The sequence below is a fragment of the Homo sapiens genome, chromosome 13 (genome assembly GCF_000001405.40).
Source record: "Homo sapiens chromosome 13, GRCh38.p14 Primary Assembly".
NCBI classification, from domain to species: Eukaryota; Metazoa; Chordata; class Mammalia; order Primates; family Hominidae; genus Homo; species Homo sapiens.
In genome coordinates this window covers 23,726,615-23,741,455 of record NC_000013.11, presented here as the reverse complement: position 1 = coordinate 23,741,455, position 14,841 = coordinate 23,726,615, and the positions used below count along the sequence as shown (strand labels likewise).

Sequence of the window (14,841 nt, the reverse complement as noted above, 5' to 3'; positions counted from 1 at the left end):
TTTTCTTTAACCAGTCTGTCATTGATGGGCATTTAGGTTGATTCCATGTCTTTGCTGTTGGGAATAGTGCATCAGTGAACATTCACGTGCATATGTCTTCATGGTAGGATGATTTATATTCCTTTTGTGTATATTAACCAGTAATGGGATTGCTGGGTCAGATGGTAGTTCTATTTTTAGCTCTTTGAGGAATTGCCACACTGCTTTCCACAATGGCTGAACTAATTTATACCCCCGCCAACAGTGTATAAGCATTCCTTTTTCTCTACAACCTCACCAGCATCTGTTATTTTTTTGACTTTTTACTAATAACCATTGTGACTGGTGTACAATGGTATCTCATTGTGATTTTGATTTTTTAGCTTTGATTTTAAAGAACTGATGAGGTATTTGTCCTGGGTGTCTTGGCCCATGGCACTGGCCATGCCTGATTGGTGTTACGAGTCCATCCACCTGGCCACATACACAGAGCACCCAGACCTCCCCTCTCCTGGGCAGCCTTGGACACCCAGTCCATGAACTTCCCTTGCATCTTTGAAACCCACAAGCAGCGATACTTCCTTCCCCGACTCCACAAGGGAAGATCCAGTTTCAGGGAGACCCAAGCTATGGAGGGCAGTCCCTCTGTGCATCTTCCTATCCCCCTCACACCTCCTGCCACACCTGACAGGGCTTGGTGGCAGTGAGACACTGTTTTCTCTTTGTCCAGGAACAACCCCTGCTTTTCCAGTGAAGGTGGGGAGTAGAAATCAGGCATTAAAGCTTGCTTGTGTATCACCCAGACTTTATGAATCGGAGGAAAGACAGAATCATTTAAGTGAAAAAACAGCTGCTTCAGGTACAAATCCTGGGTCTACAGAGTTGGTCTTTGATCAAACAAAAAGATCAGTGTTCCCTAGACATCATTAAATTCTTTTTAATAACGGGTGAACTGATTTTTTTTTTTAATCAACTGGGAATCTTCTTGAAAGAAATAGAACCAACTCTGGCTTATCAAAGCAGAAAACCAATTTTTTTTTTTTTTGAGGCCACAGACTCAAAGGAAGAAGTTACAACAGGGCTCCAGAAGAGCAGCTCGGTGGGGCTTGGCAGAGGAGAGGGTGTGTTCTTCATGGGGCTGGTACTGGGATGGCTCAGCTCCAGCCAGCCATAGACCTTTCTGCATTCGGCTCAAGACTCAATCCTGGAAGAACACATCTGGCCACCCTCACTGGCTGAGCCAGGGGCAGGGAGAGCTTCCTCATTTGTTGGCCCACCGCAGGGTGTCTGCCTGCACACTGTTGACGTTTTGGGACCAGATAAGTTCTTTTTATGGGGCCTGTCCTGTGTGTAGTATGGTGGTTCACTCCTCCAGTGTGACAACCAAAAATGTCATCAGACCTTGCCAGATGCCCTGACAAAATCACCCTCTAAACCACTGCTCTAAAGCAAAATTATTCTCCTAACCAGAAGGGAAATGGATGCTAGGTGGAAAAAAGCAATATCCTACCCCATTGACACCTTGGTGCTGTATGAACAGTTATGTATTTCCATGGCTTTCTCCCCAACTCATGAAGTTCCTCAGAACAGAAATCATGTCTCACTCATATCTGTGTGCCTGCTGTCTCCAGTACACAGTGTTTAGCACACAAGTGCTTAGTAAACATTTCCTTTTGATAAATGCATGAGCAGACGTTCAGTCTGAAGTGGAGTCAGGAGTAGTCATGTTTCTGCTTGCTGCCGTGCACAGGGAGCTTGGCCTGCAGGCAGAGGCATTTATCTCAGAACACTAATGATGGGAGAGGTCCATGCCTATGGGGAGTCAGACCTAAGCAACTCCATCCACCTTTCTGCTAAAATCGCCCACTTTGGCAGAAATCATGACCTATCAACAGATGACCAGTCCTCTACCAACTTCGTGTTTTCCTTGAGAAATGGCTCCCTCTGGGCTCCTGCCTGACTGAGGTTGGGTTCTATTTCTCAGGCTCAGAACAGTCAGAATGAAAGAAGCTTCTTAGGTGTGTGTTTCTGAGCTTTTCTCATAATAATTGATCAACACAAATTATTGTCCTGTAGAATGTTCCTAGTAATCAAAACATACCCTGCTTTTTAACTTTTTAAATAAAAGGACTGCCTTCATCTCCAAAGGGCACCTCCCGTCTGGGAGACTTCTTGAGCAAGTGCAGAGCCCCAGCTTCCACACAGCTCACACTGACACCACGTCCCTTTCTCCGTCCCCACTACAGATCTGTAGGCCATATCCATGCCAAATCCACTAGATCATTGTAGGTGCTTTTCCAGCTAGCTGGTACTCAATAACTTTGAACAGTGTCCCAAATAAATTATAGTTTTACATGAAACAATTGTTTTCTATTTCACCTGAGAAATCTTTTTTAGTTAAGTAGAAAATTACAATCGTCTACATCTTTCTTGCTCAGTATTTTTCAAGTTATAGTTGCCAGTTGAGAGAAACGACATCTCATTTTCAGGCTTAACAGGTTTCCGCAGGTCCATCTGAGCCATGGGGCTTAAAGGCGAGCATGCAGCAGAGTCACTGGGAAGGCTTATTAAAACACAGGTCACTGGGCCTATCCCCAGGTTCTGATTCAGCAGGGCTCGGATGGGGGATTAAGAATTCACATTTCTAACAGGCTCCCAGTTGACACACCAGTGATGTCAGTCCACTTTTAGGTCCACTGGATCATAGTTTTCAGAAGAAAGTCTCAGCCAGTCACAGAGGCGCACGCCTGTAATCCCATGGGGCACTTTCAGAGGCTGAGGTAGCTGGGTCACTTGAGCTCAGGAGTTCGAGACCAGCCTGAACAACATGGCGAAACCCCATTCCTACAAAAAAAAAAAAAACTAGCTGGGCGTGGTGGTGCATTCCTATAGTCCCAGCTGAGGAAGGCGGAGGTGGAAGGATCACTTGAGCCCAGAAATTCAAGACTTCAGTGAGCCGAGATTGCACCACTGCACTCCAGCCTGAGTGACAGAGTGACACCCTGTCTCAAGAAAAAAAAAAAAAAAACTCAGTAATTTTTATATATAATATATACAGGGATCTCTAATCTTTTGGCTTCCCTGGGCCACATTGGAAGAAGAATTGTCTTGGGCCACACATAAACTACATTAACAATAGCTGATGAGCTAAAAAAAATCACCAAGAAAAAACTTCATAGTATTTTAAGAAAGTTTATGAATTTGTGTTGGGGCACATTCAGAGTCATCCTGGGCCACATGCAGCCCACAGGCCATGAGTTGGACAAGCTTGATATATAACATCTTCCTAATAAATAACATGTTTTTTCTTTTTTGGGGTTGTTTGTTTGTTTTGCCTTCCTGAAATTCACATTAGGCATTTAGGCACAGATAGAATGGATGAATGAATGGAAAAAACTCTTACAAATATTCAATTAATAGTTTCTTCATTCATTCATTCTTTGAGTTTCATTAAATTTGGATCATACTCAGCCATTGATCAAACAGCCATAGTTTCATTTTATTGGGCACCTTTGCTTGGTGTCAAGCAATATATAAAATAGACTCAAAGAAAAGATGTACCTATTCTTCTTCTTCCAAGCTTTAAAATAATTCTACTTTTTAATTGCCTGGTAATCCCCTGTATTTATGAAATTAAATGATACACCAACGATTTCACCCTAGGGCCTTAGGAAAGGGAGCCAGAATGAGATTTCGTCTTTGCAAGGTTGGCTTACAGGTATAGTCAAACTGCCAACCAATTGCTCTCAATCATGTTTTCAAATAATTATATTAATTGTACATCCAAAAGGGCATTCAAGGGTTAAACAGGTGAGGCCATGAGTATGCTGATTTTTAAATGAAGGTCTGGTTGGATTATATGTTCATTATGTATTACAAAATAACAGGATATGAACTTGCAGCTTTGTACACATATATATTTGAACTCATCCTGGAGCTGACAGGATTTTTTCTTGGCGAAAGTGTAGAAATATGCATAGTTAGGAGCCCCTTAAATATGTGAAGGCTACTGTTTGAAGGGGTTACCACAGGCACTTGGAGACCACCCAGAAAGCATCCCTAAGCACAGAACTCTTGGGCACTTTTTCCTCCCAGTATCACGCCAAGACAGGAACTCCAGCAGCAACCAAGCATTGTGAGCACTGTTGTGCCCTGATGGGAAGAGGCTCTTGGTCGTTACATGAGTGCCTGTCCTGGTCATGAGTGTCCCGGTCACAGCTGGGCCAAGCCACCGTTGGCAGTACCAGACTACGGCCCTGTGAGACGAAGCCACTGATCTCTGCCCTCTACTTCCAGCTAGATGGGCACAGTCGTGACTGCTTGTAAAGTGTGCTCCACAGAACGGAAGCCGTGTAAGTTGGGTACAAGTGCTCATGGGTGGCATCAGGAAATAATGAGACCTTTCTCTCAAGATTTTCTACATATTTAGGTTCTGTCACATCAAGGATGCTGATATTTAAATATAAACCTTTTTAGAATGTATTTGACAGAATTTCGGGGCATGAGGCAATATATCATAGCGCTTTAAGAGCATGGGCTCAGGAACCAGACTGCCAGGGTTAAAGCAAACCTATGAGTTGTGTGACTCTCTTGGCTTCTGTTTTCTTACTTGTGAAGATAGGTGTCTCAAGGTGTGTTTTAAGGAGACCATGGATCAGTGCTCTTAGGACAGTGTCTGGTGCACAGTGAATGCTCTGTAAACAGCCACCGTGGTTCTGGGAGTGGAGTGGCTGGTGTTCTCTCTGATGAGCCCCGTCTAGGCCAGCTGTCTGCAGGTCAAGTCCTCCTGCATGGTATTTTTCTCCTCACTTTCTCTCCAGCTGTATGTCTGCAGTCACTCGGAAGAAGAGGACTGGAAAGCCGCAGTTTGGAAACCCTGCCGTTTTAAGACTCAGTCTTGGAATCTTGTTGATATTATAATTTAAATTAGTCAGGCCAGAATAATTACCCTAGTACTTCAAGGTTATGAAACACGCTAATTTGAGCAGAGCCGTCAGAACAAAAATGTTCTGGCTTGTACCATCTTTTCTTAGCCCATTTGTCTCTCAGGTAAAATGAGGAGAAAAATACATTAAATTCTCACTCTTTAACTACTCTTTATATATTCTCTGTCCCTCTCAGTAGGACAAATAGGTGAAGATCTACTACCTGCTTCCTTTTGTGAGCTCATATTTGCAATGTGTGTCCTGATGCAATTTTGTCTTTCTTATATTGCTATTGACACTTTTCTCTTTTTAATTGTAAAGTTATTGCCTGTTTGAGTCCTTTTGGCAAGATCCATTCATTCTCCCTCTAATTTAGGTGATTTCCAGAGTGAAATGTGTTTGTTAACTCCATCCACCTTGGTTGGAGTTAACAGCTCCAAGCTGGTTCCCAGGGGTGCTTGGAAAATACAATTTTAATCGTCACCCTTCTAAAATTAAGACTTGAAGGCAAAGGGGACATCTTTGTCAGCTTTAAAAAAGAAACCAAAGCTTTCTTGGAATTTTTTTACTATGGCCATATACAAAATCCAAATCCAGTTTTTCTTACTTGTGGAACTACCTGAAACATTGTTTTTTTTGTTTTTTTTTTAAATTTTCTGTGTAGGGTTTAGTTCATGTTAACACTCGCAGAACATTTAAATCTAATTAGAGCAGGGCTAGCATAACAGTGTGCCCAGGATTCTTCCCCAGTAACTATTCTTCATTATCCTTCCAGGCTCAGGTCCTGATTTCCTCCTTTTTGAACCTTCATCTTCAGCAATCACATACATACAAAATCACCAAACCAGTTAGCTCTAACTATATTTCTTTAGAAAAGCCCACAAGTGTATATATTTTTCTCTTGTGGCCACAGTTGCCATTCTGTGAGATACAGGAATTGTTTAAGGTGGGGAATTGGAGAAGGACGTGTGTTAGTTGGGCCTGTCTGCTGGGAAGGAGAGAGCAAGGTCATATTTATATTGGCAGTTTGTTGAGTTGAAGTGAACCACTTCAAAGAACAGGATAGCCATACTTACCTGAATAGCTTGGCTCTGAATAAATGGCTTTCTCTTCTGAGAATTCCAGTCATTTAGTTATAAACGACCAGTCATGTAATTATAGAAATGTTTCAAATATAGTTTTTTTTATTTTTAAGGAGCAGAGAGAGTTTAATAGGCAAGAAGAAGCAAGAGGGAAGGGAAAAGGAAGAAGCTCCCCTGTACAGAGACAGAGGAAGGGGGGCTCCAAAGCCAAGAGAGGGAACCCCACCTGCCACAGATACCAGCTAGGTATATATACAGAGGCTGGAGGAGGCAGTGTCTGATTTGCACAGGCTCAGGGGATTGGTTTGACTAGGCATGTCATTCACGTAGCCCGCAGGAAAAGCTGGCTCTCCCACCCTAGCCTTTTAATATGCAAATGCAGGGCACCATGATCTTCTACACAGGTGGGGATACTTCGGGGTGTCCATGTATCCAGGAATGTGGGGAAAGGGCAAGAAGTCCACAGGAATCGCCATGTTTGGGTGGACCCACTTTCTAATGGCTGGCATTTGGATATCGGGTAACTGGCCTGGCTTTAAGAGCTGGAGCTTTACAAGAAACTTTTCCAGACGTGCTTTAAAAAACAAAAACTTCCTAAGGACCCCTTTTCCTCTCTATCTGCCTAAAATAATTTATCAATAACTCCTACAACATTCCCCCCTGTGGAGATGCCGCACTAACTGCTGTTAGAGGTTTGGGCGACGATGTCTTCTGGCTACTTCCTGCTGGAAAGGGGCGTCGAATGGGGAACAGCAGCTAGGGCTCCTCCTGGGGTTGATCTAAGGGTCCTCGGAAGACTGACGTGTCCATGTGTGGTTCAGTTTATAGCACCATTTGGAGTTTGATTGCTGTGAGTTGGGTGATCCTCTCCTCTTGAGGTCCCAAGATAAACTCAGAGCTTCCAGACAGATAATTTCCAAATTCTAGAGGAACCAGGCAGAGAAATAAACATGCTTCAAATTTTGTTCATAGGAGTACACCTTACTCAATTATTAAAGGCCATAAATAGTTTAAAATAAGTTTCCTTGACTCAGTCTGATGAATGAATTTCCTTTCTCGGCCAACGCACCAAAATGATGTGGCTCCGATGAGTGGTGGAGCACCAGGGTTTTTGGTCCTCATGCCAGCTTAGATACAAGGACACGGACACACGTGGAGTGGTTTTAAGGAGCAGAGAGTTCAATAAGCAAGAAGGAAAAGAGAAGGAAGAAGCTACCCTGTACAGAGGAGGAGGGCGCCAAAGCTGAGAGAGGCAACCCCTCAAATATTAAAAAGGAAGAAATGGCGTGATAGGCTAGCACATTTTATGGAAAGCCATGTCTTAATTAAATGTTTTCCCTACAAATGTTCTCTGTATCAAGAAACCTGGCACATAGGGAATGCATGAAACCTGATTTATAATCAGATTCAGTCTACTTAAGTAATAACCTATATCTAGATGATAGATTGTCAACTGTGCTACTTTAGCCATCATCACATACCCAGCGTTTCTATCCTTAGTGACACAGCTGGGCCAGAGGCAAGGCCTGCATTCATGCATGCAGATTATTTTACTGTAAAAAAGAACACTGTGTTTTGAACTTTAATTGCACAAATAGACACAGCAATGACATTCTCTTCTAGTAACTAGTAACAGCCCATTATTCCTCACATAGTACCTAAGATAGAGCTGTTAGAATTTAGATAGACATTAGATAGCCAGTGAAAATATTTTAGTCTACAGTTGAAACTGTAACAATATTGGTATTGTTCTCAACTACCCCTGGTCTAGTTAAGGGCTTTCAAGTATGTGTTTGGACCAAGTATTTTCATGTCCACCATCTAGATAGTCCTTGGTCTATTTCCCACCCCATGTGCTTTCTGGTGGGATGATCACATCTGCACCTCTAGTCCCCAAGCTGTCCCTGAGCTCTGTGTCCTCACTGTCTCCACATGGAGTGTCCCCTTCCACCTCAAACTTGACAAGGGTTGTGTCTCCACACCACCCTGCTCCTCCTGGATTCCAGCCCAGTCTGTCCTTCCTTTTCTGTTGGTTGCCCTGGTTCAGAGCCCTGGGACCTCTCATGTTCCTCTCCCAGAGTCTCTTCCAGCCTTACTCTACCCGCCAGACCACTTCTTGGTCAGCATACATTGTGCATTTCCCCAGGTTTGTGCCTTTCCTATATTGTCTCCTCCACCTAAAAGGCCCAATCTGTTAAGTTTCTGCTCAATCCCATCTCCTCCACAAACCTGCTGAATCTCTTCATTGGAATTCATCTTTCTCTTCTGTTCTCCACACTGACTGCACTTTGTATGCTATTAGCATCTACAGTTTACTTTTTCTCAAGATTTTATGTTAAAATTTTTCAAATATTCAGAAAAATTGAATGAACAGTACAACACTCATATACTTGCCATTTAGTAAACATTTTCCTATATTTACATCTCTTCATCTCCGTATCTGGCCTTATGTTTTTATGCATTTCAAGGTAGCAGACATCAGTACATTTTACACCTAGATTCGTTTACATGCATAGCATTAGAGTTCAATAGTTGCTTACTGTATTTAGGTAAACTTTTCATACAGTGAAACGCAAAATCTCAAATGTACCTTTCAATGAATTTTGATGCATGTACACACCTTTATAACTCAAATCACTATCCAGATGTAGAACATGACCATCACACCAGAGGCCCTCCTGCCCCTTCTCAGTTGATTCTAATATCCACTCCCGAAAGCAACCACAGTTCTGATTTTTTTCACCATAGATTGGTTTGACTAACTTTTTGAACTTCATATAAATGGAATCAAACAGTATGTACTGCTTCACATAAGGCTTCTCTCACTCAGCATAATGTTTTTGAGATCCGTTTGTGTTGTTGCATGTATGAATAGTTTGTTCCTTTTTGTTGCTGAGTAATATTCCATCATATGAATATATTGTAGTGTGTGTATTCATGTCCTATTGATAGAAACTTGGGTTGTTTCAAGCTTGGGGTTGTACAAGTTGTTTCTTTGTTGACATATGCTTTCATTTCTCTTGGATAAATACCTGGGAGTGAAATTGCTGGGTCCTAGTGTAGGTCTATGTTTAGTTTCGTAAGACACTGGTTAAGACCTTTTTTCAAAGTGATTGTATCATTTTATCCTTTCACCACAAATGTATGACAATTCAGGTTGCACACAGCCTTGTCAACATTTGGTGTAGCACAGTGGCTCACGCCTGTAATCCCAGCACTTTGAGAGGCCAAGGCAGGAGGATCGCTTGAGCCCAGAAGTTCAAGACCAGCCTGGGCAACATGACAAGACCCCATCTCTACAAGAAGTTTAAAAACTAGCTGGGCATGGTGGCACACACCTGTGGTTCCAGCTACTCTCAAGCTGAGACGGGAGGATCACTTCAGCCTGGGAAGTCGAGGCTGCAGTGAGCCATGTTCACACCACTGCACATGCTGTGTTGTCCAGGCCTGGACAACAGAGCAAGACCTTGTCTTTAAAAAAAAAAAAAAAAAAAAAAAAAATTAGCTATTCTGGTGGATGTGTAATAGTATCTCATTGTGGGTTTGGTTTTCATTTCCCTAGTGACTAATGATGTTGAATGTCTTCTCAGTGCCTATTAGTTGTGTTACTTATTCAGATATCTTCTGTGAAAAACCTGACCTTGTGAAGGTAAAATCTTTTGTCAATTTGTAATTTAAAAAAACATATTTTTACAATGGGTCAAAGGAGTTCTTTATATTTTCTGGATACCAGTCTTACGTGAGATATGTTTTGTGAGTATTTTTTCCAACTATCATTTGTCTACTCATTGGCTTAATGGTTTCTTTTCAAGAGACATTTTAAATTTTGATGAAATCTAACATTTTTTCCTTTTATGCATTGCTTTCTGTGTCCTAAGAAACTATACCTACTTCAGGGTCACAAAGATACTTCATGCGGTTTTTTTAAGATAATAATTTTAGTGTTTACACTTAGGTCTGTGACCATCTCAAATTAGTTTTTATGTATGGTATGCAGTAGGAGTCAAGGCTAGTTTTCTGCCGTATGGATATGCAGTTCTGCCCAGCCGACTACTCTCACTCTTCATGTTGTGACTGAGCCTGCCCACCTGTATGCCCATGACCTGGCCTGATCCTTTACACACAACAGATGCTTCCTTCATGTTCACTGAATTGCAATACAGGTTCAGAGAACAATAGAGGATTCCTGCAATCTTTTAATGCCTTGATTTTGAAAATGGTTTTACAGAATTCATCTCCCAAAGTAAATATCAGTATATAGAGCCTGTTCAACCCTTCAGTTAGCATTTCCTGCCAAGAATGTAGGTTAAAGCAATAAGGTTAATTGCATCAATCTTTGTTTTTGGCTTCTTTAGAGTGAAGAAAGGACATGAATTCAGCTTTTTATTGAATTCTTAATATATGCTAGGCATGGTGCTTCATTGCTTCTACTACATCTTCTTGTTTGATCCTTATAGCAACCTTGTAGGAAATTTGGATGCCAGAGATTTTAAGTGACTTCTGCGTTACACAGTTACTAAGTTGCAAAGCTAGGAGTTCTCTGGGACAGGGAAATCTGGAGGAGAGCCAATAACTTGATTCTGATATAAGATTTCTATAAAAGAATTAACATCTAATTGATTGTAAAGTGTATAGAACTTGATAACAAAACTTGATATGTAATTAAACTTGTTAAATTGTGAATCATCCCAGTCAAAGATAACTAAAAAAAAATCAGTCTTCTAATATCAGTCTCTAAGGGTATAGTCATATATGCAAAAATAATAGCCCTTAGGAAATATATTTAGGCCTAAATCTCTAAGCTAAGGATGGATTTGATAGTAAAAATACATTAAAATTATAAATAGCTCCAAGGCCCACACACTGCCCATGACTTTATAAAATGTTCTTGCATTCAGGTTATACAGCCAGAGTCTTAATTCAGAAAGCCAGAGTGTTCCTCTAGTGTGTGGATTTGATTTTGTGTCTTTGTGCTTCCTGTTGCCTCCTGGTGAACGCAGTTCTGACCTTTCCTTTGTTTGCAGGTATGCTTCAGAAGTGTCCTTCTGTTGATGACTTCGTAAGTGCCCTCGTTTCCGACTTGGATCTGGACTTCGAAACTTTCCTCATGGATTCTGAATAAAAGAAACACTCTACACCTCTTAAATCAAGGTCATGTAGATAATGACTTTGTTATAAATGCTACAGCTGTGAGAGCTTGTTTCTGATTTCATTGTTCGCTTCTGTAATTCTGAAAAACTTTAAACTGGTAGAACTTGGAATAAATAATTTGTTTTAATTATTCTGGCTTTTCACCTGTTTGGCAAATATTTGAGCACATGGAAATCTCTGACCTAGTAACAACAACACTTCTACATGGCATTGTTAAATGGAGGGTATGGGCATTTCCTTAGTATAACCACTCTCCTGTTGAGCTTTTCCCTCTTTCCATGGATCTTTAATTGGTTTAATTAAATAATTAACTAAAAGCAAAATTGTTTAAGACAGAGTTTGAAGCAGTCTTCAGACAGGTTACACTTATAGTTCTTTTAAGAATGATGACCATTTCTTAAGACCACTATCTAAAGTAGGCTTAGAAAATGCACTTTAAATAGTCAATTACAGGCAACCAACAAACCAAGTGTGGTTTCCAAAATACATGTAATTATCTGTACTGTTTTTTCCTGAATGTTTAGGCAAATAGACTCAGAACACAGAGGACTGGCTTGGCAATGAAGGTAGAATGAGTAAGTGCAGGTACAATTAATAAGTGACATACCAGTGTCAAGCAACTGGTGAATCAGGAAACAGACCATGTCTGTTTTTATCTGGAACTCATTTGCTTTACAGTATTGCATACCATACTGTATTTTGGTTAATATCAGGAAATAAATTATTTAATGGGTTTTTCCCACCATTAAAGTCAAAACCAAATTATGAATTTCCAGTTTAAAAAGGCATCTGCTAACAGCCTCTTCTTGCTTCTCACCAAAGACCAATGATGAAAGGAAAGATTCAAAATACCCAAAACTAGGACACACATTCAACCTATTTGCAGAATCTGGAGGAATTTCTTCATGCTCAGAGATGGGACTGGATGGAGAAACATCATCAGTGGCCGGCCTGTGCCAGGTGCTCCTGGATGCAAGGGGGATCGACCCTTCATGCTTTCCCACCTCCTCCTCACCCTTAGAAATCCAAATCGGTACTGACCAGAAAGCAGAGCAGCCAGCACCCCAAGTAGGGCTTTGCGTTTGACTGAGTGCTGCAGTGGGTCCCTGTCCCTGCTGCTCCCCATTGGAGCTTCTCTCTCTATACAGCAGCACTTGGAAACTGCAGCTCACACAGCCTTGGGCAGGGAGTCGGGCAAGCCTGGCAGTGGTGTCTCCTCTGTACCCAAAGCAGAGCTGAGGAACGGAGACAAAGGTTTGAGGAAGGGCTCTGGTGCAGTGCCCAGGGAGGAATCTTGCTGTTTCTATGTCTCACCCTATTTACAATATCCAAGCTAACTTAAAAAGAGATCTTATCCTGACAAACTGGCAATACACAGATGCCAGCTCATTCTGGGAAACAGACTTGGAGACATTTACAGGTAAATCAGTTACAGGTAAATCTGAAAAGTGCTTTCATCAGCACCCAGGTGCACCGACAGTGACAAAACCCCTGCATCTTTATCAGGTCTTTTTTGTAGAGGTGAGTAACCAAAAAAAGAAGTCTATGTGGAGCCTTTTTAAAAGCATTCTTCAGAAAAGGGAAAGGAAGACTTGACCTGGAAGATGCTGGAAAATCATAACTTAGAAAATTATTATTTCTTTTGAGACAGAGTCTCGCTCTGTCACTCAGGCTGGAGTGCAGTGGCATGATCTCAGCTCACTGTAACCTCCGCCTCCCAGGTTCAAAGGATTCTCATACCTCAGCCTCACTAGTAGCTGGGATTACAGATGTGCACCACCACACTGAGCACATTTTTGTATTTTTAATAGAGATAGTGTTTCACCATGTTGGCCAGGCTGATCTCAAACTCCTGACCTCAAATGATCCACCCACCTTGGCTTCCCAAAGTGCTGGGATTACAGGTGTGAGCCACTGTGCCTGGCCAAAAATTATTTTTTTAAAGGAGCAAATTGCTCCTTGTACATTGCAGCAAAATCTCTCTGTTTTGTTTGTTTGTTTATTTGTTTGTTTTTGAGGCAGAGTCTTGCTCTGTTGACCAGGCTGGAGTGCAGCAACATGATCTCGGTTCACTGCAACCTCTGCCTCCCGGGTTCAAGCGATTCTCCTCCCTCAGCCTCCCAGGTTCAAGCGATTCTCCTCCCTCAGCCTCCCGAGTACCTGGGATTACAGGCGCCCGCCACCATGCCTGGGTAATTTTTGTATTTTTAGTGAAACGGGATTTCACCATGTTGGCCAGGCTGGTCTCAAACTCCTGACCTCAAGTGATCCACCCGTCTCAGCCTCCCAAAGTGCTGGGATTACAGATGTGAGCCACCGTGCCTGGCCCTCTCTGGAATTCACAAAGAGATTTGAGAAAACATGTTATTTATGAAGTTGAAAGCCATAAAGAACAGGCAGAAATTAAAAGACAATAGGACAAGTTACAAAGGAAGATGGGTAAAATAAATGCAGAGAAATGATAACCACAGTACAATGATTTAAAACATTGTCAGAATCAGAAAAGAAGAAAATTGTCAAGGAAAAACCTGAGAAACATCTTTCAGAATGCAGGTTAAACAGATGCAATGAGAGCAGATAGCAAGACAGCAGAGTGGAGGGCTACACCCTCTGAATTCTAGAATTCCTCAGATGAAGCCACGGCATTTGCAACAAAAGCAATAAGCAGAAATAAATTCTGGTGTACTCCTGTATTCCCAGGAGTACAAACCAGTGCCTACCCCTTAGTAGGGGTACTGGTGAGTGAATGCTAATCACTGATTTCAAGAAACCATTTTTAAGCTGAAAGAATGGCTGTGCAATTCGAAAGAATCCCTGATGGTGGCACACAATGCGAATGTCCTTAGTGCCGCTGAACTATACACATTCAAATGGTTCTGCTCCATGGTAAATGGTATATTATGTATATTTTACCACAGTTTTTTAAAAAGCAAACAAAAGAGAGAATTCTGAATTCCAGATTAAAACATAGTGGAAAGAGACCTCATCTAGATATATTCTGCTTTTTTGAGAGTTTAAATAAAATATTTGAGTTTAATTTAAAGTTTGAGTTTAATTAAAATATATGGCATATCCCAAGATGGGCTTTGCAGAAAGAACACTTCTCAGGAACTGTTAGTTGGTGTACCAGGAACTCAGAAGGGTCCTGTTATTAAATATATTTGGAAAATGCATGGATTCTCTGAAGATTCACTCTGCATGTGAGCAACACTACAATCGCAAACCAGATTTGGCATTGCATACATGAGCCAGTATTTCCCAAACATTTCTGGTTATGGCCCACCCCCTTTGTGTAGTACTTATTGCTGTTTTTTGGAACCCTGGGAAATAACTAAAAATATTCAGCTGGAAATAACAGGCGTAGCTGTAAAGGAGCAAGAATTACAGTGACTCCAGAGTGCAAGTGTTGATTACTATTAAGAGCCAAAGAATTGAAAGAAGTTTTGAGAGGTGAAGACGGAGATGTAAAATGACATTCTCAGATATATGAGAGCTCAGGAAACATCTCAACTTTGTACACTTCTTTAAAAATTGCTAAAAGTATATGTAATTTTGATGAAGAGTCAGAGCACATGAAACCTCCAAGAGGCTTCACAGAATGTGGAGGGGTCATTACTTCTTCCCAATAACAGCTGAATAAATCACAGTAGCAAATTATTTTATTATGAATGTTTTCCCCTATGATGGGAATAAATCCATAAGCC

At 41.4% G+C, this 14,841-nt stretch overlaps 1 protein-coding gene and 1 long non-coding RNA gene across 3 annotated transcripts in view; one reads left to right on the top strand and one right to left on the bottom strand.

The window, feature by feature from the left end:
• The window catches only part of MIPEP (mitochondrial intermediate peptidase), a 159,212-nt gene extending 147,945 nt beyond the window's left edge, over nt 1-11,267 (top strand). For both annotated transcript variants that reach the window (NM_005932.4, XM_011535097.3), the window contains exon 19: nt 11,011-11,267. In NM_005932.4, the coding sequence (NP_005923.3) occupies nt 11,011-11,108 (98 nt within the window). In that variant the 3' untranslated portion in view covers nt 11,109-11,267. The remainder of the gene's footprint in view (nt 1-11,010) is intronic.
• Nucleotides 6,060-12,829, bottom strand: LOC105370113 (uncharacterized). Its single transcript, XR_007063722.1, has 2 exons — nt 12,179-12,829; nt 6,060-6,909 (listed from the first exon to the last, which is right to left on the bottom strand). It is a non-coding gene; the product is annotated as an uncharacterized LOC105370113 (long non-coding RNA).